This window comes from Homo sapiens, chromosome 6, assembly GCF_000001405.40.
Source record: "Homo sapiens chromosome 6, GRCh38.p14 Primary Assembly".
Taxonomy (NCBI): Eukaryota; Metazoa; Chordata; class Mammalia; order Primates; family Hominidae; genus Homo; species Homo sapiens.
Window position 1 is genome coordinate 169867000 of NC_000006.12, and position 27397 is coordinate 169894396.

General features: G+C 45.7%; 1 non-coding gene across 2 annotated transcripts in view; it reads left to right on the forward strand.

Annotated features, from left to right (window-relative positions):
* Positions 1-1740: 1740 nt before the first annotated feature.
* LOC105378149 (zinc finger protein 227-like) overlaps positions 1741-27397 on the forward strand; it is a 35996-nt gene continuing 10339 nt past the window's right edge. Inside the window, exons 1-3 of one of the 2 annotated variants that reach the window (XR_007059895.1) lie at positions 1741-1874; positions 14423-14590; positions 23102-23309. This is a non-coding gene — a transcript (zinc finger protein 227-like). Of the gene's footprint in view, positions 1875-14422; positions 14591-23101; positions 24348-27397 lie in introns of those variants that run through there. The other variant, XR_001744480.1, reaches the window with a different exon arrangement.

Sequence of the window (27397 nt, forward strand, 5' to 3'; positions counted from 1 at the left end):
TAAATGAAGGCGTCTACCATGTGTTAGGTCCTGAGCTGGGTAAATGAAGGCAGCCTCTAATAGCTCAGACCTGTGCTGGGTAAACGGTGATAGCTTCCCCGTGCCAGGTCCTGTGCTGGGTAAATGAAGGCAGCCTCCAATAGCTCGGACCTGTGCTTGGTAAATGGTGATAGCTTGCATGCACCAGGTCCTGGGCTGGGTGAATGAAGGCAGCCTCCAATAGCTAGGTCCTGTGCTCGGTAAATAGCTTCCCTGTGCCAGGTCTTGTGCTGGGTAAATGAAGGTAGCTTCCATGTGGTAGGTGCTGCGCTGCGTAAGTGAAGGTGCCTTCCACGTGCTCGGTCCTGTGCTGGGCACTTGAAAGTGTCTCCCACTCGCGAGGTGGTTTGCTTAGTAAATGAAGGCCCCTTCCACGTGCTGAGGAAATGACACTGCCTTCCACGTGCTGGGGAAATGAATGGTACCTTTTATGTTTTCAGCCCTGGGCCAATTGTATTCAAATATTCCGTTTTCATCTTTTTAGCAACCATGGAAGAATACAAGTATTTCCATTTTATATGCAAGGACGATGAGACCAACTTCAAGTGGTGAAGTTGGTACAGATTCCTCTTCTATCAGGCCTGTGAGGTTTTGTGTGAAACCCTCATGCTTTATACACAGGTTTTGCTGTCCTGTGGTTGTCCATCAGGTTCTGGGAATTCTGAGCTGGAATGAGGCACTCCAGTAGCGTCTTCCCAAGGGTAGACCACACAGCACACGAAGCCCACCAAGCCTGCACCGCCCACACAGCACGGCCCCTCGCTGCAGACCTGCTGCCCTTGTGGGTTTAGGCCTGGTGCTCCCCTCTCACAGGGCCGTGCCTCAGACCCCACATCCGCGCTGCAACCTGGAATGCACCTGCCGCATGGTGTGAGAGGCGTTTTGTGGGAGACGCCCAGGGCAGTACCTGCACTGGAAAATACTCAGTGGCTACTGGGCCATGCTGAGGGGCCTTTAGGACATGGAGCTGGAGCTGTGGAGGGCTGGGTTTTGGTCCCATTTGACTCTCCCCCATGCCTCATCCTGAAGTTCTTTAATCTTGGTCTGATGTTTAAAGTTGGGACAGCCCCTCCTGTGACCTCGGAGGGTTCTGGCAACCAGGTGAGCTGGTGTGTGTGTGGGAACAGCATGGAGCTCTGTGAAATATCAGGCGTCTTCCCCGCCATGGGGCATCGTGGTCAGTGTGTTGTAGGGTCAGTTGACCACTTGGACACCTGGTTATGACCATTTCAGCCTCTTTTGGAAACATTCTGCTTTTATTCCCATTGGCAAACAAACTTGCTCAGAGGTTTTATGTGACAAGCTACAGGCAGCGCTGGAGTGTGGTGTGCCAGCATGAGAGGGTGTGAGCAGGGGGCACGTTTTCTCTGGAATCGTGCATTATAGGAATAAATCATGTGTGTGTTTGCACCTTCTCACCCCTATGTGAAGATGAAACTTTAGTGCTTGAGGTTAAAAAGTGTCCTCATGAAGGAGTCTGGCTCTTTCCGCCCTGGTCTAGAAAACAGTTTCCCGTGAAGGACCAGGGACTACAGATTTCCGGCTTCGGGGCCCTACGGCCTCCACCCCCGCCATGCAGCTCTGCAGCTGTAGCCTGAAAGCAGCTGCAGCTGCCGCGCGTAAGGGGTGGCTCTGGGCAGGAAACCACGTGCGAACCGCCCCACGGCAGGGTGCGTCCCACAGAAGGAGCAGTGTGTTCCGTCCCGCTGCACGGCCTGCGAGGGATTTCCATGGTGAGGGTGAATCACGAGGGCTTCTTGTGGCCTGGTCTGTCTTACCTGCCTCTCCTTCATGCAGGCTATTTTTTTTTTAAGCAAGGAAAGAATAACTTTATTGTAAGTATTAATTAATTAATTAATTAATTAATTAATTTATTTATTTTTGAGACAGAGTCTCCCTCTGTCGCCAGACTGGAGTGCAGTGGTGGGATCTTGGCTCGCTGCAACCTCCACCTCCCGGGTTCAAGCAATTCTCCTGCTTCAGCCTCCCGAGCAGCTGGGACTACAGGTGTGTGCCACCACGCCCAGCTAATTTTTGTATTTTTAGTAGAGATGGGGTTTCACCATGTTGGCCAGGATGGTCTCGATATCTTGACCTTGTGATCCCCCCCTTGGCTTCCCAAAGTGTTGGGATTACAGGTGTGAGCTATGCGCCCGGCCTATAAGCATTTATAAGCATTTATCTCCAACTCCAAGGTTGCCATATTCAGTGATATAAACATTGGTTCTGGATGGTGGAAAATGTTATGGCTGTGGGATAAATTTATTATTAAATTTATTCAGACCAGAGGGAAGGTGAAGCCCATGTCTCCTCGCTCTTCCCCACGGGAAACGGAGGGGGGCTGCCCGGGAAGCTCCATGGACATCTTCCTGGGGCCCTGGAGAGGCACGGCTGGCGGGAGGCAGTCACTTCCAGGCTGTGGTGTGACCCAAGATATTAACACAGGCCCCGTGTGAGGCTCAGCTGTCTACCCAGGCAGTGGAAAAGGATTTTTCAACAGAGACGCCGCAGACATGGGGCTTTAAAAGATTTCAAGTCTCGGATGGGTGTGGTGGCTCATGCCTATAATTCCAGCACTGTGGGATGCCAAGGCGGGTGGATCACAAAGTCAGGAGTTTGAGACCAGCCTGGCCAGTATGGTGAAACCCTGTCTCTACTAAAAATACAAAAATTAGCCAGGCATGGTGGCGGGCGCCTGTAGTCCCAGTTACTCGGGAGGCTGAGGCAGGAGAATGGCTCGAACCCCGGAGGCAGAGCTTGCAGTCAACCGAGAATGCGCCATTGCACTCTAGACTGGGCAACAGAGTGAGACTCCATCTCAAAAAAAAAAAAGAGATTTCAAGTCTCTATGATCCAAAATAGTGCTTTCCCAGCTATGTTTGCCGCATTCATCCTTTCTGCTGTGTTCGTGGGGCTGTCTGTGTAATGGCCACAGATCTGCTTCTGGAGGTTCTACTTTATTGCATTGGTTTTTGTTTATTGTTGATTTCTGTAAAAATACCACTCTTTTTATTTTTATGGCTCTGTAATATGTATTTTATATTTGATAATGCAAATCTTTGTATTTTTCTAAATTGTTTTATCTATACTTTTATAAACATTTTTTTAAGAGACAGGTTCTCATTCTGTCACCAAGGCTGGAGTGCAATGGTGTGATCAGAGCTCACTTCACCCTCAACCTCCTGGGCTCAAGTAATCCTTCTGCCTCAGCCTCCCAAGTAGCTGAGACTATGGGCACATGCCACCACACCCAGCTAATTTTTTTATTTTTATTTTTTGTAGAGACAGGGTCTCCCTACATTGCCCAGGCTGGTCTCAAGCTCCTGGCCTCAAGTGATTCTCCTGCCTCAGCCTCCCAAAATGCTGGGATTACAGGCATGGCCACTGTGCCTGGCCTTAGAATTAAATTAAATTTAAAACTTATTGCATGTAAAGTTGCCATACTAACAATGTTATTTTGTTCTACATAAGATCCCAGTGTTTCATCATTTATTCAGGTGTTTCATCACTTTATTTATGTATTTGATGTACTATAGATGTACATGGTTTCAGGCTAAATGTGATAATTTAATGCATTCACATATTTTGTAAAGATCAAACCAGTGCACTTGGGACATCCACCACCTTAAACATTTGTCTTTTCGTTATTGCTAGAACCATTAAAATTCTTCTCTTCAAGCTATTTTGAAATATACAATAGATTATTGTAATCTATAGTAAATCTATGAAAAAACTAGGTCTTATTTCTTCTTTCAAACTGTACATTTGTATCCACTAATCAGCTTCTCTTCATTCCTACACCCCTTGCCCTTCCTGGTCTCTGGTAGCCACCAATCTACTTTCTATCTTCATGAGGTCCACTGTTATAGCTCCTGAGGTGAGATCTGTCTTTCTGAGCCTGGCTTGTTTCACTTAACGTAGTGGCCTCCAGTTCCATCCTTGTTGCTAAAAACAACAGGATCTCATTCCCTTCTCTGACTGAACCATATTCCACTGTGTATATGTGCCCCGTTTTCCTCTTCCATTCATCTGCTGGTGAGCACTTAGGTTGATTCTCTATTTTGGCTACTATGGATAGTGCTGCAGTAAACATGGGAGTGCAGAGATCTCCTCAACATCCTGATGTCCTTTCTTTCGGGCGTACACTCAGTAGTGGAGTAGATGGGTTGTATGGTAGTTCTATTTCTGGTTTTTTGGGAACCTCCACACTGTTCTCCATGGGGGCTGCACTAACCTACATGCCCGCCCACAGTGTCTGAGGTTCCCTTTTCTCTTGCCAGTATTTGATACTGTTTTTAATAAAATCAATTTTAACTGGGGTGAGATGGTACCTCATTCCAGTTTTGATTTGCATTCCCATGATAATTAGTGATGTTGAGCATTATTTCATATACCTGCTGGCCATTTGTTTGTCATGTCAAATGTCAAGAAATAGACATTTCTTGAGAAATATCTATTCAGATCTTTGGCCCATTTTTAAAAATCAAATTATTGGATTTTTTTTCCTATAGAGTTGTTTGAGCTCCTTATATATTGGGGTTGTTAATCCCTTGCCAGGTGAGCAGTTTCCAAATATTTTCTCCCACTCTGTGGTCACCCTTTGTCTTCACTTTGTTGATTGTTTCCTTTGCTGTGCAGAAGCTTGATGTGATCCCATTTGTCTTTTTTTTCTTTTTTTTTTTTTTTTTTTTTTTGAGATGGAGTTTCGCTCAGTTGCCCAGGCTGGAGTGCAATGGTGTGATCTCAGCTTACTGCAACCACTGACTCCTGGGCTCAAGCGATTCTCCTGCCTCAGCCTCCCGAGTAGGTGGAATTACAGGTGCCCTGCACCACACCCGGCTAATTTTTGTATTTTTAGTAGACACAGGGTTTCGCCATATTGGCCAGGCTGGTCTCGAACTCCTAACCTCAGGTGATCCGCCCACCTTGGCCTCCCAACATTTGTCCATTTTTGCTTTGGTTCTTTGTGCTTTTGAAATCTTACCCCAAAAATCTTTGCCCAGACCAATGTTATATAGCATGTCCCCCATGTTTTCTTGTAGTCATTTCATAGTTTCAGGTCTTAGATTTAAGTCTTCAGTCCATTTTGATTTGACTTGTGTGTGTGGTGAGAGACAGAGGCCTAGTTTCTTTTGCATATAATTATCCAGTTTTCCCAGCACCACTTACTGAAGAGACAATCCTTCCCCCATTGTGTGTTCTTGGTGCCCTTGCTGAAAATCAGTTGGCTGCAAATGCACGAATTTATATCTGGGTTCTCTATTCTGTTCTATTGGTCAATGTGTCTGTTTTCATGCTGGTACCACGCTGACTCAGTTACAATAGCTTTGCAGTAAATTTTGAAGTCAGGCAGTGTGATGCCTCCAGCTTTGTTCTTTGTGCTCAGGATTGCTTTGGCGATTCAGAATCTTTTGTGGTTCCATATACGTTTTAGGGTCTATTTTCCATTTCCGTGAAGAATGTCATTGGTATTCTGATAGGAATTGCATTGAATCTGTAAATTGCCTTGGGCAGTGTTGTCATCTTAAGAATATTAATTCTTCCATAGTCCTGGATAATTTCAGATAATCCATGAGCATGGACTATCTTTCCACTTTTTGATGTCCTCTTCAATTTCTCTCATCAGTGTTTTACAGCTTTCTTTTTATAGGTCTTTCACTTCTTTGGTTAAATTGATTCCTAGGTATTTTATATTCTTTGTAGCTATTGTAAACAGCATTACTTTCTTGGTTTCCTTTTCTGATTTTTCACTATTGATGTAAATAAATACTACTGACTTTTGTATGTTGATTTTGTAACCCACAACTTTACTGAATTCACTTATCAGTTATAACAGTTTTTTTTTGGTGGAGCCTAGGTTTCTCTAGGTATAAAATCATGTCGTCTGCAAACAAGGGTAATTTGACTGTTTTCCTTTCCAAACTGGATTCCCTTTCTTTCTCTTGCCTGATTGCTCTGGCCAGGATTTCCAGTACTATGTTGAATAAGAGTAGTAAAAATGGGAATCCTTGCATTGTTCCAGATCTTAGGGAAAAGGCTTTCAACTTTTCCCTGTTCGTCATGATGTTAGCTGTGGGTTTTCATTTATGGACTTTAAGATTTTGAGGTACGTTCCTTCTATATCCAATTTGATTAGGGTTTTCATCATAGAGGGATGTTGAATTTTATTAGATGTTTTTTGACATTTATTGAAATGATTATATGGTTTTGGTCTTGGTTCTGCTAATGTGATGTATCATGTTTATTGACTTGCATACGTTGAACCATTATTGCATCCCTAGGATGAATCACAATTGTTTATGGTGAATGATCTTTTTAATGTATTGTTAAATTCAGTTAGCTAGTGTTTTGTTGGGAACTTTTGCATCTATATTCATCAGTGATATTTGCCTATAATTTTGTCTTATTGTTTCCTTGTCTGGTTTTAGTATCAGGGTAATGCCGCCCTTGCAGAATGAGTTTGGAAGTGTGCCCTTCTCTTCAGTCTTATTGAAGAGTTGGGGTGAAATTGACATTAGTCCTTTTTCAAAAAAAAATTTGTGGGCACATAGTAGATGTATATATTTATGGGGTACATGAGATGTTTTGATACAGGCATGCAATGTGTAATAATCACATCAGGGAAAATGGGGTATCTACCTCCTGAAGCATTTATCCTTTATGTTACAAACTATCCAATTATATTCTTTTAGTTATTTTAAAATGTACAATTAAATTATTATTCACTATAGTCAGAGTGTGGTGCTATCAAATAGTAGGTCTTACTCATTCTTTCTAGCTATTTTTTGTACCCATTAACCATCCCCATCTACCTCCCACCCCCACACACCTCCCCACTACCCTTCTCAGCCACTGGTAACCATTTTTCTACTCTCTATCTCCATGAGTTCAATTGTTTTGACTTTTAGATCCAAGAAATAAATGAGAACATGAGACGTTTGTCTTTCTGTGCCTGGTTTATTTAACATAAGATAATGATTTCCAGTTGTGACCATGTTGTTGCAAATGACAGGCTCTCATTCTTTTTTTATGGCTGAAGAGTATTCCTTTGTGTATATGTACCATATTTTCTTTATCCATTCATCTGTTGACGGACACTTAGGTGGCTTCCAAATCTTGGCTATTGTGAACAGTGCTTCAGCAAATATGAGAGTGCAGATATCTCTTCAATGTACTGATTTCCTTTCTTTTAGGTACACACACAACAGTGGGATTGCTGGGTCATGTTATAGCTCTATTTTCAGTTATTTTGAGGAACCTACAAACTGTTCTCCATAGTGGTTGTACTAATTTACATTACCACCAACAGTATACGAGGGTTCCCTTTTCTCCACATCCTTGCCAGCATTTGTTATTGCCTGTCTTTTGGACATAGCCATTTTAACTGGGGTGAGACAGTATCTCATTGCAGTTTTGATTTGCATTTCTCTGATATCAATGATGTTGATCATCTTTTCGTGTGCCTGTTTGGCATTTGTATGTCTTTTTTTTTTGAGACGGAGTCTTGCTCTGTTGCCTAGGCTGGAGTGCAGTGGCGCAATCTTGGCTCACTGCAAACTCTGCCTCCCAGGTTCATGCCATTCTCCTGCCTCAGCCTCCTGAGTAGCTGGGACTACAGGCGCCTGCCACCACGCCCAGCTAATTTTTTGTATTTTTAGTAGAGACGGGGTTTTGCCATGTTAGCCAGGATGGTCTCGATCTCCTGACCTTGTGATCCACCCACCTTGGCCTCCTAAAGTGCTGGCATTACAGGCGTGAGCCACCACGCCCAGCCTGGCATTTGTATGTCTTCTTTTGAGAAATATCTATTCAAATCTTTTGCCCATTTTTTGATTGGATTGTTAGATTTTTTTCCCTGTAGAGTTGTTTGAGCTCCTTATATATGCTGGTTATTAATCCCTTGTCAGATGGGTAATTTTCAAATGTTTTCTCCCATTCTATAGGTGTCTCTTCACTTTGTTGATTATTTCCTTTGCTGTGCGGAAGCTTTTTAGCTTGATGTGATACCACTTGTCTATTTTTGCTTTGGCTGCCTATGCTTTTTAGACCTTACCCAAAAAATCTTTGCCCAGACCAATGTCCTATACCATTTTCACAATGTTTTATTTTAGTAGTTTCCTAGTTTCAGGTCTTGGATTTAAGCCTTTGATCCATTTTGATTTGATTTTTGTATATGGCAAGAGATAGGGGTCGAGTTTCACTTTTTAACGTATGGATAGCCTGTTTTCCCAGCACTATTTATTGAAGAGACTGTTTTTTCCCCAATGTATGTTCTTGCCACCTTTGTTGAAAATTAGTTCACTCTAGGTGTTGGATTTGTTTTTGGGTTCTCTATTCTGCTCCATTGGTCTATGTGTCTGTTTTTATGCCAGTAGCACACTGCTTTGGTAACCATAGCTCTGTAGTATAATTTGAAGTCAAGTATTATGATTCCTGCAGTTGTGTTCTTTTGCTTCAGATAGGTTTGGCTCTTCTGGGTCTTTTGTGGTTCCATATAAATTTTAGGATTGTTTTTTCTATTTCTGAGGAATGTCATCGGTACTTTGATAGAAATTACATTGAATTTGTAGATTGCTTTGGGTAGTATGGACATTTTAATAATATCAATTCTTCCAATCCATGAACATTGGATATCTTTCTATTTTTTGATGTCCTCTTCAATTTCTTTCTCCTTTAAGTGTTTGGTAAAACTCAGCAGTGAAGCCATCAGGTCCTGAGCTTTTCTTTCATAGGAGACTTTTTATTATGGCTTCAATCTTGTTACTCATTATGGGTTTATTGAGATTTTATACCTTTTACATGGTTCAATCTTGGTAGGTTGTATGTGTCCATAAAGTTATCCACTTCTAGGTCTTCTAATTACTTGACATATAATTGTTCACGGTAGTGTCTAATGATAGCTTTTATTTCTGTGGTCTCAGTTTTTATGTCTCCTTTTTCATTTCTGATGTTATTTATTTGGATTTTCTCTCTTTTTCTTAGCCTAGACAAAATTTTGTTGATTTTGTTTATCTTTTCAAATAACCATCTTTTTGTTTCATTGATCTTCTCTATTTTTTTTTTAGTCTCAATTTACTTCTGCTGTAATCTTTATTTTTTTCTTTCCTTCTACTAACTTTGGGTTGGCTTTGTTCTTGCTTTTCTCGTTCCTTAAGGCCCATTGTCAGGCTGTTTACTTGAAGTCTTTCTACTTTTGTGATGTAGGTGTTTATTGCTATAAATGTCCCCCTTAGCACTGCTTGTGTTGCATCCCATAGATTTAGATATGTTATATTTCCATTGGCACTTGTTTCAAGGAATTTTTAAGCTTTCTTCTTAATTTCCTCATTGATCCATTTGTTGTTCAGAAGCTTGTTGCTTAATTTCCATGAGTTTGTGACATTGCTGAGGTTCTTCTTGCTATTGATTTCTAGTTTTATTCCATTGTGATCAGAAAAAAATACTTGATATGATTTCTACTCTGTTCAGACTTCTTTTGTGATCTAAGTTATGGTTTATCCTGGAGAATGTTTTATGTTCTGATGAAAAGAATGTGTATTCTGTAACAGTTGGCTGAAATGTTCTGTAAATGTCAGTGAAGCCTATTAGGTCTAGAGTGTAGTTTAACTCTGATGGTTCCTTTTTGATTTTCTGTTTGGATGATCTGTGCATTACTGAGAGTGGGGCATTGAAGTACCCTACCATTATTGTAATGTCATCTATCTCTCCCTTTAGATCTATTACTGTTTGCTTTACATACTTGGGAGTTCTGGTGTTAGATGCATAGATATTTATAATCATTATGTCCTCTTGCTGAATTGACTTCTTTATCATTACATATTTACCTTCTCTGTCTCTTTTTATAGGTTTTGATTTGTAGTCTGTTTTATCTGATATAAATGTAGCTATCTTGCTTTTCTTGTTTTTGGTTTCTAGTTGCATGGAGTATCTTTTTCCATACCTTCACTTTCAGTCTGTGTGTGCCTTTATAGATGAAATGGGTTTCTTATAAGCAATATATAGTTGGTTTGAGACCAGCCTGGGCAACATGATGAAACGCTGTATCTACAAAAAATACAAAAATTATCTGGGCATGGTGATGTGCACCCATAGTCCCAGCTATGTGGCAGACTGAGATGGGACGATCACCTGAGCCTGGGAGGTTGAGGCTGCAGTGAGCTGTGGTCACACCATTGTACTCCAGACTGGGTGATAGAGACCCTGTCTCAGAACCAACCAAACAAACAAAATGCCCAAACATATAGTTGGGTCTTATTTCTTTATCCATTCAGCCACTCTGTGCCTTGTAACTGGAGTATTCAGTCCATTTACATTCAGTGTCATTGTTGATAAGTAAGGACTTACTACTGCCATTTTGTTGCTTGTTTTCTGGTTATTTTGTAGCTCCTCTCTTCCCTTCTTCCGTCTTCCTTTTTAGTTAAATGGTTTTCACTGGTAGGATGTTTTAATTTGTTATTTATTTTTAGTGAATCTATTATAGGTTTTTGCATTATGGTTTTCATGAGGCTTACACAAAACATCTTACAGTTATTTTAAAGAGATGACAAGTTATTTTAAAGAGATGACAACTTATCTTAAATCACAAGGAAAATAATAGAAACAAACAAAAAATGAAAAGGTCTACATTTTAGGTCTACCCCCTCCCCATCTGGCTTTTAGTTGTCTCAACTTACATATTTTTATACTGCTTGTCTCTTCACAGTTTGCTGTAGCTATTGTTGTTTTTGATAGATTTGTCTTTTGAGCTTCATACTAGGGTTATGAGTGGATTTCACACAACAGTTACTGTATTAGAGTTCTGGGTTTGTCCATGTACTTAATCTTACCAGTGGGTTTTCTATCTTCAGTTCTTTTCCTATTAGTGTTTTTTTTTTTCATTCAAATTGAAAAACTCTCTTTAGCATTTCTTGTAAGTCTGGCCTGGTGCTAGTGAATTCTCTCAGCTTTTGTTTGGGAAAGTCTTTATCTCTCCTTCGTACCTGAAGGATAACTTTGCTATATAGAGTATTCTTGTATGGAAGTGTTTTCTCTTTCAGCACTTTGAAAATGTCATTGCACTCCATCTAGTTCTGAATGGTTTCTGTTGAGAATGTTATTGACAAATGAATTGGAACTCCTTTATATATTATTTGCTTCTTTTCTCTTGCTGGTATTAGAATTCCCTTTGTCCTTGAACTTTGAGAGTTTGATTATTGTATGCCTTAGGGAAATCTTATTTGGGTTAAATCTGTTTGGTGTTCTCTGACCTTCCTGTACCTGAATACTTATGTCTTTCTCGAGTTGTGGAAAATTTTCTGTTATTATTTATTCAACTAAGTTTCTACCCCTTGCTTTTGCTCAACCCCCTCTTGAACACCAATAATTATTAGATTTGGTCTTTTGAGGTAATTTGCTATATCTTGTAGGAGATCTTTATTTATTTTTATCTTGTTTTCTCCTTCATGTATTTTCAAATAGTCTTCCAGCTTACTGATTCTTTCCTCTGCTTAGTTCATTCTGCTATTAAGAGACTAATTTTTTTTAGTTCAGCAAATGTGTTTCTCAGTTCCAAGATTTCTGTTTTTTTTAAAATTTGAATCTCTTTGTTAAATTACTCATAAAATTTTTAATTTCTTTTCGGTATTATCTTGGAGATGACTGAATTTCCTTAAAACTACTCTTTTGAATTTTTGGTCAGAAAGCTGGCATATGGATCTCTCATTAGGGTCAGTTTTTGTTTCTTTTCTTTTGTTTTGTCTTTGTTTTGTCCATTTGGGGAGATCATGGCTCCTCGTTTACTGTTGTTTCTTGTGGGTGAACATCTATGTCTTTGCATTGAAGGACTGGTTATTTATTCCAGTCTTCTCTGCCCAGCTTTATTTTGTTTTAATTGAATATATTTGCTTAGAGGTTCCTTACCACTAAACTACTGCCTCCCTTATGGCTTCAAGAGGTGCCTTAAACCCAGTTTTGCCTCAGCTCTAGCAAAGGATCAGAACATTGCTGTTCCCAGATGGGGGAGGTCCTGATTGGCATATCCCAGCAGTGTGGGAAGGCTGGCTTAGGAGTTTGTGCCCAGGAGACTTGTGGGACAAACTTCCTATAGCCTCGTGCTGCTGAACAGCCACTCTCGTTTGGCGTCTCCTGTGGCTGAATTACAGAACAGAGTTTCCGGGGCTGAGTTACAGAGCAGAGTTTCTAGGGCTGGGTGTGGGAATCCTGCTTGTCTCCTTTGTCTCTGTCCTTAGGGATATTTCTCCCTTCAGGCACTCATGATGCTTCCTGTGGGTTAAGAGAGGGACAGATCTCCTGCCAGGGAACCCAAGATGGTGGGGAAGCTATTTGTCTACATCAATTTCACCTTTTCCAATGCAGAAACAGTGAGATGGGGGAACTTTTTCATGTGCTTGGTACTGGGCAGAATAGGAAGAGGGGTGTCATGGATGTGAAGTCCAATTCTCTTACCATCTGCTCAGTTTTTTCACTTCTTGGTGGCCCCAGGAATGGTTTTATCTTTGTATTTGATTTCTGGGATATTTCTGGTGATAATCTCAGCACTGTATATTTGTTTTAGGCTTTGCGTGTTTGGGGATGAGTGAATCCAGCTTGTTTCTATGCTGCCATCTTGGAACTGGAAGTCCTTTTACACAGGTTATTTAAGCTTTTCCTCCAGGGATAGCAAATGCACTCTATTGTCCCAGCTTCCATAAGTTGGCAGTGCCATCTGGGATCCTCTGGTGAGAAGAGATGTCACAATCGATTAGCAATGTCTGCCATGGGTGTGAGTGGGCCAGGCAGTGGTATGTGTGCTGAGGATTTGCCATCTGGGATCAACTGCTTCAGATCTATGAGTCTGATCCTGTCAACCTAATCAAATACCTTTCAAGTCCAAGAAGAACGGGCCTTATGAGACAAGACTGAGATAATGAGGCTGAATTTCAAAAAACATGCCTGAACTTTGGGGGGAATTAAATTAGTACAGTTCCTTTACACAGGCTGCTTTGGAAGGCATTGCACTTATGCCAGTGAGGCTAGCTTTGCTTGTACATTTTTGGAGTGCTGTTTTAGAATTGCTGGTTAATAATGGACCATAAAACATATAATTTTCAATCATTTATGGTCTCATCTCACTTTTGGCTTCAAATGCCATTACCCTGTCTTATCATTTGCTGTTCTCTGGGCTTGATCCCATTTAACTCTTGGTTGTATCCCGAATGAGATCTGTCCTAATAAAATGAAGATGTGTCTCCTCTGAAAGTGCCAAGAACAGCTTGCAGGCTCTGAAGGCCATACGGAAAAGGAAATTCCCAACCTCTAAATACAGGGAGCATCATTAGAAGGGTGAGTGCCTTCCCAAGTAGTACTGGTAAGGAGGAGACTCATCTGCTGCTGAACCATGGGCGTTGGTTGGAAGCCAGTTCTGTTACTCTCAATCTGTGCCTGGGCCACCTCTAAAGAGCCATACATCACCCACACCTGGTGGTCCTCTTGCTGACCACCGGATTTTGCTAAACTCATTTTCACGTACGTTGATTTTGTCTCCTTAGTGCTCTGCAGGAGCCAGGTGGATGCACTGGCACAGCCTCCCCTGCTTCTGGACATTGTGCCTGTGAGCCTGGGGTCTTTGTCAGTAACTGGCTGCTCCTCATTCTACCTGAGGCCAGACTCCACACCTCTTGTTCCTGAGCTCCAGCCCTGGGAGTCATCTGTGCTCAGGCAGCGGTCCCAGGTTAGATGCCTGCTTCCCCTTAGGCCCAGCCCCACCAGAAGAGACCCTGCAGCTGTTTCCAGTGGCCTGGGCTGCAAATCGTGAATGACTATTTGTTCAAACCACTAACATCTCAGCCCATGGAAAAGACCTAAGCGATCTCATGGCTGATTTTCTTCCTGGGCTGTTCCATATGCCAGGGCCCCTGGCTTTTCTTGAGCTGATTCTGATTCCTGAAAAGGGGTGAAAGGAATTTCTCCAGGCACTTTTGGAAGGAGCCCCAGCTGTGGAAACCTTCCCTGAACAACCAGACCACCAGCAAGACCTCACCTGGCCTTTAGTCCTGGAGGAGCAAAGGGCCTGGTGGTGGCACCCCCTGAGGTGTGCCCCGGGGCAGGACACAGAACACTGCAATATGTTATTACCGAGGTCAGGCTCAATTTTCCTTTTAATTTTCTCCCCTGGAAAGAAAAATCCCTTTCTTTGTATTTGGAAGGCTTAACTTTAATCTCATGTTCCCCTTTTAGCTAATGATGTGGTACACCTTGCAAGAAACGGAAGTTCATACAACTTCTTCAGCATCTGAGTAGGGGAGAGCTGGATTTTAAAGGAAATTTGTAAGTGATTTTTATCGTTAACTGAAATTTCATTCATAGATGTTCTTCTGTTCTCTTTCTGCTCCTGTTTGTCACACAGACATACACAACCAAGCCATGGCTGCTATTCAGAAGCCGCTTTGCCTGGAGTATCTCAAAGCAGCAGCTGGCCCTTGCGGAGTGTTCCGTGCACGAGTCCTGCATCCAGGCACTTGCCCGTGTACTTTCCTCAAACGTACTCATTTAATCCTCAGGAGAGTCCCATGAGGTAAGCAGCTTTAGCATCCCTATTTTACAGGTGGAAAAACTGAGGCACAGACCAGCTGTCACCTTTCCAGCCTGTCTGGGGCCAGAGTCCATGCCCCGACCCCCATGCCATTGAGCTCTGGTGAGCCCTGCATCCCCCGCTGCTGCCTGCACATGCCTCGATCTCTCCTCCACAGCTTCCTCTCAGCTTCTCCAGGGTCCCAACCCCGTTTCTGTCTTCTTTCTGCAGTTGGAAATGGTCATTGTTTCACATATGCAGGGCTCTCACGCTGTGTATTTAGAAGCCCTTAATGAAGGAATCCATTCCAGAAGATAACATATATGGGCTTTTCTGGTAGAACACAAACAATTATTTAGTGGTGAGAGAGAAACTTTTGAAATGGTCTTGACGTTCAGAGCTTGAGAAATGACAATGAAAGGAAGCAGACTTAATGAAACGGCGTTTTAGAACACAGGGCTCGGGGAGGTGCTGAAGTCTGATGCAGAGACCAAGCTCAGATGAGGGCAGTCCACCTGTCGCTGTGTTCTACTAGAATTTAAGCTCACGGGGGCAGGAGTTCTGCCTGTTCCTGCTATATGGGCGCAGAACAGTGCCTGACACATCTTCCTGGTCACCTGTGATGGCTGGGCACCATGCTGGACAACGGGAGGGCGGTGGCCCGTGAGAGTGCTGGAGTTCCTGCACTCACAGAGGTTAGGACTAAAGGGAGAACAGTCCGTTCCGGTCCGGACCTCAGACTTTGGGTAAGTGTCAGGGTTCAGGGAGGACTTTAAAAATGGCTGGGATTTCTTCCCAGCCATGGCCACATCCCCTCTAAGGTCCCTCAAAGGCTCGTGCTACAAGGTCTGAGTAGAGCTATCAGGCTTTGGAGGTCACTTATCCCACCAAGGCCTCAAGGGCCCTTTATTCATCCGGCTGCTGGTCCCACCTGGGAGTGGTGCACGTTTGAGGTATGGACCCTGAAAGACCTAGAAACAAATAATGTGTTTGATAACTTGTTTCTTTTCACATTTGTTTAGAGAAAAAGAGGTTAATTACCACAGTAGCATAAAGGCCAATTAACTGTCCACATAATCAGGTTTACCAGTAGCTGCCCTTCCATCCTCCATGCCTGTGGACACCTTGCGGGCAGACAACATTGGAAGCATTCATCTGATCCACCGTGCTTCCCGGGCTCCTGAGCCAGGAGGAGCTGTGTACAGTGTTGCCCACACTGTGTCTTCTAATGAAGCCTTTTATTTTATGGTAGCTGCTGGCAAGAAAGCAGAGGGTGGAAACTCCTCTCCCTCCTCCTTAGTGAATGTTTCCACTGCTGTGATTCCATTTGGATCAGAGTTGATTTTCTGTGGACTTTCATACACTCTCCATTCTGGGCAGAAGCAGTGAGGTCTCCCTCCAACCATTTCATCTGTGCAGTCAAATCCCACCTTTCCACAAAGGCACCTTCCCCACCCTGGTTCTCTCTGATGTGTGTGGCCAGTCCTAGGAAAGCATCTAAGGCTTTCAGCTGTATTGAGGTTGCCTGTGTCCAGCCTGAGCCCAGCGCCTGGCACCCAGCAGGTGCTCTATAAATCTTTGCAGATGGAGGAAGGCAGGGGGAGGCTTGGCTTCCACTGTGCATCTGGCCACATCCAGGAGAGAGGAGGATTTTCCTGTCTTGGGTCTTGCTGAAGTCCCCCTGGCATGAGAGGCTCACACCCAGGCCAGTCATCACCTCTGCCCACCTTCTTTTTCCAGATAAGTCGAAGACTGTGAGTTGGTGAGGTGAGACTTCAGTGTCCTCTGGGTTATGAGGGGATAAGGACGAGATCTCTCAGAGAACTGAAGTTGTGACTGGCCTCCCTGCAGGCAAAGGCTGGCTCTCAGGCAGGTTCGGGGGGTTTGGTCACCAGTAGCAGCCCTTTGGTCCCTGCGACCCCTGGCGTCCCTGTTCAGTGTGCCGTGTGTCCACCCGGACTTCGGATCTTTCCATGGTGCCAGCCTGGCCTTTTACTTTCACGCAGCTGCTCCACAGTCACTCTGCACAACACCAAACCTTACCACATAACACACACCTCATCTCACAATGCCACATCTCACCACACCACACCTCACCTCACAATACCACACCACACCACGCCACACCACATAGCACCACAGCAACACACAATACCACACAGCACCACTTCACACTCACCCACCCACTCCAACTCAATTTCAACCCAGTAGTACGTTACCTGTGAATGAATGCTGGGACCACCAGGGTCCCCCAGAAGGCAGTCATAACAATCTGCCCAGCTGGAGGGAGAAACAAATGTTTGTTTGGACAATTTGCATCCGCTCCTTCATACTACTTCTTCAAACCGGATAAAAGAGAACTCTGTATAATATACACAGAAACTCCTGTTACTGGCAGAATCTTAAAATATTTATACAGCATACAAACAATACCAAGGAATTTCCTACAAGCTATATATTGACTTCATAAACACAAGGCCATTATGTATTTGTCTTAATTATACACAACAAGTTATTGATTACAGTACAGTAAAATCTGAAGGCAAAAATCTCAAGATCAACACTTCTGTATACACTGTGCTGTTGCAAATGGCTACTGCGATAAGCTAGGAGATCAACCCGTGGCACTGTTAATCTCAGAGGCTGAAGATGCATGGACTTTGGGAACCTGGGGCCTCTCTGTGTGGCTAGAGAGGGAGTTAGCTCAGCCTGGTGGGTGTGATGGGTGTGTCCCGCTGTCCACACAGGAGGGCACTCATCTGGTGGGCCATGTTGCCGGGAGACCCTGAAGCACCTGGGTAAGCTGCTGTGTCCTCAGCCTTGGCCACTTCCCATGTGCCAGTGAGTGACGTTCAGGGTTTGTATTAGTCAGGGTTCTCTAGAGGAACAGTAGTAATGGAATATATATATGTCACATGTGTGTATACACACGCACACATGTAAGGGGGAGTTTATTAAGTATTAACTCACACAATCATAAGGTCCCACCATAGGCCATCTGCAGGCTGAAGAGAAAGGAGAGCCAGTCTGAGTTCCAAAACTGAAGAACTTGGAGTTCGCTGTTCAAGGGCAGGAAGCATCCAGCACGGGAGAAGGATGTGGCTGGGAGGCTAGGCCAGCCTCTCTTTTCACATTTTTCTGCCTGCCTGCTTTATAGTCTAACCTCACTGGCAGTTGATTAGATTGTGCCCACCCAGATTAAGGGTAGGTCTGTCTTTCCCAGCCCACTCACTCAAATGTGAATCTCCTTTTTTTAACACCCTCACAGACACACCCAGGATTGATACTTTGTATCCTTCAATCCAATCAAGTTGACACAGTATAAACTATCTCAGGGTTCCTCACAGGAAGGAGATTGCGGCAGAGAATGTGGTGTTCCTTGCCCTTCCTCTCTCTGCTCTGCTCCCACCTTGGGCCACCACTGTGTCCCTCAGTACCATTTCTATTTCAGATTCCAGTATGTTCAAAAATAAAAAGAAAGTAAATGGTGCTTCTTCCCAGAAAATGTTTGTCCATTTCTGAGGTACATGTTTATTTTAATGTCATTTATCTCTGGGAATAAAGAATAACCCCCATAAGAATAACCCCCAACCACCCAAGTGGATAAAAACCAAAAATGTTCTGTCTTGGTCCATTTATGCTGCAGTAGCAGAATACCTGCACTGAGTAATTTATATTGACTCATGGTTATGGAGGCTGGGAAGTCCAACAGCATGGTACCAGCATCTGGTGAGGGCCTTTGTGCTGTGTCATCCCATGGTGGAAAGCAGAAGGGCAAAAGAGGGCAACAGTGAGAGAGGGCAGGGAGGGTTGAACTTGCTTTTATAACAAACCTACTCCCACAATAATGACATTAATCCCTTCATGAAGACAGAGCTCTCATGGCCTAAACACCTCCCTTGAGCCCTACCTTCCAACACTGTTGCACTGGGAATTAAATTTCCAAACACATGAACTTTGAGGGACACATTGAAACCACACCACCTTCCTAGTCTCAAGTCCAACTTACTAAGTGATCTTATATATGCTACATGTCATTTTTAGGCTCTTAGACTCTGAAAAACAGGGTCCTTAAGTTGTCTTTGTTAATGTTCAAAGTAAGGCTCAGACACATCTGTTACACAATGGGTTACAGAGGAAAGTGGATTGACCATGATAGAATGTCTTCATCAATAACTGAGAGGCAGGAGGACATACGTACATGTGGATGAGTCTAGTTCAGCATTGTCCATGTGACAGCTGGCCCCTCTCTGATCATGCTCCTTGAGCATGAGAACTTTGGGAAAGGAGCCATATTGATGTTCTGCTGGGAGGGAAAAGACTGTGTGGCCAGCCAGGAGAGGCAGCATGCAAGGGAGACCTGATGTGGTCCAGCCAGGCGACGCAGCATGCAGGGGAGACCTGATGTGGTCCTGCTGCCAGGGGCTGGAGCCCTTCAGTCATCACCTGAGGTCCTTCAGTGCAGCCCTGAAGTGACGCTGCTCCAGAACTCATGTCCATACCCCACCCTTCATCTGGCTGTGGGTGCCACATCCACGGCCCCTGCTCTCCAGGCAGGCTGTATACATGTCTTCCCAACTCCAGTCCCTCTAGAGAAGTTCAGAGGCTTCAGGTTGGTGGCTTGAAATTGGCCATGATGGGATCATTTTCACCATGGAAATTGGCAAATACTACAAGTCAGGGCTCTATTCTTTTCAAAGAGCAGGTTGTTGAAAATTTACTAGCTCATTACTGAATCCAGTCATCTATCTTTCCTACTGTTCAACCATTTCACCACCTCACCATCTATTTACCTCAGCCATTAAGGCCAGATGAATCCATTTGGAAATGACCAGGTCAACCAAGGAATTAGATGTAGCAAAACCTTGCTGACACATGTAAATGACTCAAGCAGAATCTCACTTGATTTTAATGATTTTTGAATTTTCCATTTATTTACAGCTGTCTCATCCACACTTAAATCAGTGTACATGTTTAGTGAATTTCCTTTATGGTATCTTTTCAAAGCATTCAGCTTAGATTACATGGACATAATGCCTCTGTTTTCACATGCATATTTTCTCACAATGAGGCTTATCTAGATACATAAGGCAATGACAATAATAAGCCCAATTGGAACAGATGATTCTGCAGGCAAACGCGGCCTGCTTTGGGGGTGTGCACGGTGTACATGCACATGTCCACCGGTGGGCGGCGGGCCACCATGATGGAGGTGCACAGGAGCACCTACTGCACTGTTGGGGGTCTCTGCCCTCTGTTCCAGGGACCAAGTGCTTCCTCCTGGTGGTCCCAGAGAGTTTTGCTAGGCTCACCCTACACTCAGTCGCAGGTCTTCCAAGACTCGCAATTTCCTGCAAAGCTTGAAACGCAGTGGGAGGCATTGCCTGAGTCCTGTCTGCTTCTGGGCAGCGCCTTCTCTGTCACAACTGCTGAGAGCATTTGTTGCCAGCCGCCTCTGCCCCCTCCTTTAGAAAGAGTGGCATGGCCCTCGTTACCTCTTGGTGGTACTGTTGACCAAGGGGCCTGCATTCCCTGGCTGAGGTCAGGAAGGACCCACGTGGGGACAGCTAAAAGATCGTCTCTCCTTGGACTCTTAGCTGAATGATCCGAGGAGACAAAATGAAGCTTTGAGTAAATTAATTCTAATGTCAAGACTGCTCTAAGTGTGGCCCAGAGCAGGAGCACAAATGGAGGCTCAGATGCACACACCTAGGTACTGGAGAGATGTAAACCAAGATGTGAACCAAGGCATCTTGCCTCCCTTCCCCGCTGAATCTTACTGGAAAACTTCTTCCTGTCATCTGGCCATATGTCAATGTGAGAAAGCCTTTATTTTCAGCCCTTTTTTTGTGAAACAGACTTTTGTTTCATTGAAAAGAAGGAATGCACTTTTATTTCTGACTTTTGGGGAAGAGGTGCTCTCGTTTTCAGGACAATTGGATAGAATGTGTTTACAGAAGAGTGTCCAATTCTAGTTCCATGAAAGCAGGGCATAGTGGCCCTGAATTCAGAGCTCTATGAGGGAAACACCGGGTTTTCTGTTTGGAGTCAGTTGGCACTGCTTAGAGAGCGGTGTGGGCACAAGACGTGTTTGAACATACCAGAGTCAGTGGTGTTCACCACGTATGTAATTAAAGAAAACATGTTCTGCATAAGCTGGGCACGTAGGGCTGTGACTCACACTGAGCAGATCTTCGCCAAGGTAGATCTTTGCATTTAGGTTTTCCTTCCTCCGGCTGAATAGGAGGGCAGAGGAGAGAGTGAAGAAAGGATAGTAATATTCTAGCATCTGAGTGTCTCCACCTGGTTCCCAAGGGCGAGGCCACCTGTGCTTGCAGCCAGGCGCTTCCCGACTTCGTTTCTTTCCGCACATGGCTCTCTGATGCACACTTGGATTCCGGGCCCCTTGTCTACAATGGCAGCTGCCTGGGAGCATGACCTAAGAATCCCAGAGTCCTGCATTCCTACTTTGTCACCAACCAAAGGCCTTAAAGATCTGAGACCTCCGTGCCCCTGCCTCTGTGCCCTTCTGTATTGATTAGTGGAAAAATGGAGCTTATTTGGTAGAATGGTTAAGATCCATTATCTACTAATTTAAGGGAAAGGCTAATTTAAAAGAAAAGGAGGGCTACTTCTCAGAACCAAAAAAAATTTAACCGAACTATATTTCCAGATGTAGAAATTTCTAAGCCAGGTGCAGTGGCTCACACCTGTAATCCTAGCACTTTGGGAGGCTGAGGTGGGTGGATCACTTGAGGTCAGGAGTTCAAGACTAGCCTGGCCAACATGGCAAACCCCCGTCTCTACTAAAAATACAAAAATTAGCCAGCCATGGTGGTGCATGCCTATAACCCCAGCTACTTGGGAGGCTGAGGCAGGAGAATCATTTGAACCTGGGGGGCGGAGGTTGCAGTGAGCTGAGATCACACCACTGCCCTCCAGCCTGGGCGATAGAGTGAAACTCTGTGGTCTCAAAAAAAACAAAGAATAAAAAAAGAAAGAAATTTGTATTACATATTTTAAGTCTGGTGAGTTTGATTAGAAGTGAAGTGAGACTTTTTTATCAAGACAATGTGTAGAGTCCTGTGTCCTCCAATTGCCAGTTGTATGGTCTTGGGAAATAACATCTTTCATGTCTCTGAGGCTCAGCTTTTGTCCTCCTCCCAGGGTGATGAAGGGTAGACGAGGTGGGGTCTCTGTGAGAGGCACCTGGGTGCAGTGGGTACCAGCCACGGGCTGGGAACTCAAATCTCTACTCTGTCTGTGATTGGCCGTGGGACCTTAGGCCGTCACCTTCACTGCTCTGAGCCCTTGTAGGATGAAGGTAACCTCACCACACAGAGGATTTGGGGGATTCTGTAAGAGCGTGTGTGTTCAACGCTGGCCCAAGGCATGGGCTGGGAACTCAAATCTCTACTCTGCCTGTGATTGGCCGTGGGACCTTACACCGTCACCTTCACTGCTCTGAGCCTTGTAGGATGAAGGTAACCTCACCACACAGAGGATTTGGGGGATTCTGTAAGAGCGTGTGTGTTCAACGCTGGCCCAAGGCATGGGCTGGGAACTCAAATCTCTACTCTGTCTGTGATTGGCCGTGGGACCTTACGCCATCACCTTCACTGCTCTGAGCCCTTGTAGGATGAAGGTAACCTCACCACACAGAGGATTTGGGGGATTCTGTAAGAGCGTATGTGTTCAACGCTGGCCCAAGGCATCGTCAGTGCCATTCAAGTCTTTATGGGGATAGGCAGAATGCGCTCAGCAGAAGAAAACTTCTTTTTCTTTTCACCATGGTTAAATGTCTAGTTTTACGGATGTAGAACAAAGGAGCCCATTTCCTGATAACCTCTGATTATTTATAACCTGTAAGCACCTCCTGGTTTTCCCATTTCACCTGAGTGTGGTAAGTCATGAGGAATTATTTCAACAAACGCTTATCACACACCCAGGAGGTGTCACACTTTGGGGAGATGAAGACAAATGAAACATTTATTTTAGTAAATGTATGAACCCAATAAACAAAGAGATTTTCAGATGCTGTGTGGGGTGCAGGGAGGAGTCGCTTTGTCCCGAAGGTGGAAACATCACAACCTGGCCACACCTGCCGTTTGCCCTCAGTCCTTCCTGGACGAGTTCATTTCTCAGATGCAGCTCAGATTGTCATCTTGCTTTAAGATTCTCAAAGGTCTTTACCACTACTCCATCTTCCAGGACACTGGATGCAGATGCCTTCTGCTGTGGAGTGTTTGTGTGTTGTTTAGAGCACAGGAATCCTGGGCTGCTGCCACCAGCCAGCCAAGCAGCAGCGCATCCAGGGAGGTGTCAAGGCCAAGTGATAAAGCCAGAAATCTGCTCCTTTTCGGTGGTTTTAAGGTGCTGAAACCTGAAAGCTCCAGGAGCTTCGTCCTCCTTAGATTTTTTTTATGGGTTAATAAAGTAAATACCTCCTTTCAAAAAGGATGTGTTTAGGAAGCTAAGCTGTTCATTTTTCAAAGTGAGTGATCTGTTTTACAGAGCTTAGACGCATGTCCAGCCGCCTGCTGTAAATCCTCTCTGGCTGTAAAGGACAATGTAAACAACGTGGGTGCCGTTTAAACAGTCCCCAGCATGGCACAGGCAGCGCCACTGGAAATGCCTCCATCTTTCTAAAGAGAAACAGATGTTTGAAGAGCGGAGCTGAGCAGAAGCCATTCTTCAAACAGAAGATTAAAGCATCTGTCGGGTATGCCGGGCCAGCGACCCTCAGTGGCCACCTCAGCTGGGCCTGCTGGTCACAGCTTCCAGGGTGTGTGGTGGAGGAGGGCGTTGGGGGGTGGGCGGAGGGGAAGGAGGGAGCTGAGTGCTGATGCCCAGGCCTCTCGGCTACTTCTCATTTCCAGAGTCAGAGTTACAGTGGCCCGTGGCCCATTGATGTCCTGCTGGCCTGTCCAGTGTGCTGCCAGCCCATCGGGGGTCCTGTTCACATTCCTAGGGCCTTCCCTGAACATTGTCCTTTTTATTCCTGACGCCAGTTGTCACTGAGGCCCTGGACAGAGAGCTCACACCTGGCCGGGTCTAGGCGTCCCTGCCCTGTGTCAGACCCTCCAGAGTCCCTTCCTCTTCCAGGTCCTCCGTCCAGAATTCACCTTCTGAAAGACTGGGGTGCACACCACACACAACATTCCTGGGATTCATGGGAAATAAATGTGCTCATCTCTTAGGACTAAGAAGGAGAGAACATCATTCCTGCTCTGCAGCTCAGTAAGAATTCCAAAATGTTGATGGAAGAAAGGGGATCAGAAGAGAAGTTTGCAGGGGATGCCTAGGGTTGAAGAGTCCCTTCTTTTTGCTTTCTCTTGTCCCTTCCCCAAAAAGGTCCATAAGAGAAATTCTTCCTGTGCAAAGCTTTAGTGAGCCTGGGGCACGGAGGAGCAAATCTGGAAAGGGTGACCTCCAATGATGACCATGCAAGGGGGAGACGTGCGGGGGAGGACGTGGAGGAAGGAGATGGGCAGGGGAGGACGAGGAAGGGAGGATGTGAAGGAGGAACCTAGAGGAGGGACTGGATGAGGACGTGGATTAGGGATAAAGATGAAGGACAAGGAGGGTGGGCATGGAGGACAAAAATGGAGCAATGTCATGAAAGGAGGGACATGGTAAGGGTTTTTCTTACTGTGAGTCTCGTGGAGAGGGTCTCTTACTGTGAACATCAAAGTGTGGGTCTCCATCACTGTGAGCCTTGTGGACAGGGTCACCATCATTGTGAGACTCATGGACAGGGTCTTCATCACTGTGAGCCTCGTGGAGAGGGTGTCGATCACTGTGAGCCCCCTGGAGAAGGTCTCCATCACTGTGAGCCTCCTGGAGAGGGTCTCCATCACTGTGAGCCTCATGGAGAGGGTCTCCATCACTGTGAGCCCCCTGGAGAAGGTCTCCATCACTGTGAATCTCCTGGAGAGGGTCTCCATCACTGTGAGCCTCGTGGAGAGGGTCTCCATCACCGTAAGCCTCATGGACAGGGTCTCCATCACCGTGAGCCTCGTGGACAGGGTCTCCATCACCGTGAGCCTCGTGAACAGGGTCTCCATCACTGTGAAACTCATGGAGAAGGTCTTCATCACTGTGAGCCTCATGGAGAAGGTTTCCATCACTGTGAGCCTCGTGGAGAGGATCTCCATCACTGTGAGCCTCGTGGACAGGGTCTCCATCACTGTGAACCTCATTTAAAAGGTTTTCATCACTGTGAGCCTCATGGAGAAGGTCTCCATCACTGTGAGCCTCATGGAGAAGGTCTCCATCACTGTGAGCCTCGTGGAGAGGATTTCCATCACTGTGAGCCTCGTGGACAGGGTCTCCATCACCGTGAGCCTTGTGGAGAAGGTCTCCATCACTGCGAGCCTCATAGAGAAGGACTTCATCACTGTGATCCTCCTGGAGAGGTTTCCCATCACTGCGAACCTCGTGGACAGGGTCTCCATCACCGTGAGCCTTGTGGAGAGGGTCTCCATCACCGTGAGCATTGTGGACAGGGTCTCCATCACCGTGAGCCTTGTGGAGAAGGTCTCCATCACTGTGAGCCTTGTGGACAGGCTCTCCATCACTGTGAGCCTTGTGGACAGGGACTCCATCACTGTGAGCCTCGTGGACAGGGTCTCCATCACTGTGAGCCTCGTGGAGAGGGTCTCCATCACTTTGAGCCTCGTGGAGAAGGTCTCCATCACTGTGAGCCTCCTGGAGAGGGTCTCCATCACTGTGAGCCTCGTGGAGAAGGTCTCCATCACTGTGAGCCTCCTGGAGAGTGTCTCCATCACTGTGAACCTCGTGGAGAGGGTCTCCATCACTGTGAGCCTCGTGGACAGGGTCTCCATCACTGTGAGCCTCGTGGACAGGGTCTCCATCACTGTCACTGTCAGCCTCGTAGACAGGTTCTCCATCACTGTGAGCCTCGTGGAGAAGGTCTCCCTCACTATGATCCTCCTGGAGAGGGTCTCCATCACTATGAGCCTTGTAGACAGGGTCTCCATCACTGTGAGCCTGGTGGAGAGGGTCTCCATCACTGTCAGCCTTGTAGACAGGTTCTCCATCACTGTGAGCGTCGTGGAGAAGGTCTCCATCACTGTCAGCCTTTTAGACAGGTTCTCCATCACTGTGAGCCTTGTGGAGAAGGTCTCTCTCACTGTGATCCTCCTGGAGAGGATCTCCATCACTGTGAGCCTTGTGGACAGGGTCTCCATCACTGTGAGCCTTGTGGAGAAGGTCTTCATCACTGTGAGCCTCCTGGAGAGGGTCTCCATCACTGTGAGCCTTGTGGACAGGGTCTCCATCACTGTGAGCCTCGTGGAGAAGGTCTTCATCACTGTGAGCCTCCTGGAGAGGGTCTCCATCACTGTGAGCCTCGTGGAGAAGGTCTTCATCACTGTGAGCCTCCTGGAGAGGGTCTCCATCACTGTGAGCCTTGTGGAGAAGGTCTCCATCACTGTGAGCCTCCTGGAGAGGGTCTCCATCACTGTGAGCCTCGTGGACAGGGTCTCCATCACTGTGAGCCTCGTGGACAGGGTCTCCATCACTGCGAGCCTCGTGGATAGGGTCTCCATCGCTGTGAGCCTCGTGGAGAAGGTCTTCATCACTGTGAGCCTTGTAGACAGGGTCTCCATCACTGTGAGCCTCGTGGACAGGGTCTCCCTCACTGTGAGCCCCACAGAGAGGGTCTCTTTCACCATGAGCTCCTTTGTGAGGGTGTGCAATTCTTTTGGTATAATCTTGCATATTTTACTCCTAGTTAGCAGTTTCTTTAATTAGGAACTTTCCTGAGCTCCTGCCTGTGGCCTGGGTTGCTTGCAGCTTCCACTCTCTTTTAGTGCCTTTGTTTTTTGGGGAATCAGTGGCTCAGTGTCCTTCTGAGGGACTTGGCTTCTTTGTTTACGTTGCTTGTGTGGCCTGGGATGCACACTCTCAGCTCCCTACGGCTCATTTCCTCTTTCTTCAGGGAAGGGATTACCCCTCCATGTCTGCTGGGCTCTTTCCACCCTTTAATTCTGAACATCATTCCCCGTCCTTTTAAACAGCAACTCAGAAGCCTCAAGATGGCTTCGTGGAGGCTGGAGCCATGCATGGATTGTATCCTTGGCCGGAAATGCCTCCTTCCTGAACTGCTGGGCCCCTCCTGTTGTGGGTGCTGTCTATCTGTGGCCCAGGGCTGGGCTCCTCACCGTGTCTGGGAAGCCGAGTGCTGTATCCACGTAGTTTCAGACTCACAGAAAGGGGCCTTGGTCTGGAGGGCACTGAGTTTACAGGAACGAGCCATCTGACGGCCAGGTGAGACTGCCGGTTCTGACAGGGCCACCTTCTGTGGCATGGAGGCCTCCATGCCCTGGACTTAGTTTCCATGGAGGAAGAGAATTAGGATGGTTCTGAGCAGCTTGGGGATCTCTCTCCACACCACATGCATTTGCAAATGCTCTCTTCTGTATATGGATCCTGGACGGAAGACGTTCAGGTCTCCTGACCCTGCAGGGCAGTGTGGGGACCCCTAGACACATCCCTGCATCCCTTGGCCAGCGTTGGCCCTGCTCTGTGTCTAGTGGCCACCGGCAGCATCTATGGCTTTGTGGGAAATGGGGTGGAACAATGTCTCATGGGATCTGAAGCTCCTAATTTTATTTTTTTATTGTGTCATAAGCCTGTATTTTGGTAGGAAAAGATACAGAAGTTGTTTCAATGAGCTCCTTTCATCTCCACTGCTTTGGGGATTCATGCTGTGGTGCCGTTTTATGCCCTGTAATGAAACTGTGTGGAGTGGACGAGAACGCCCCTGGGAGGTGCCTTCGGAAA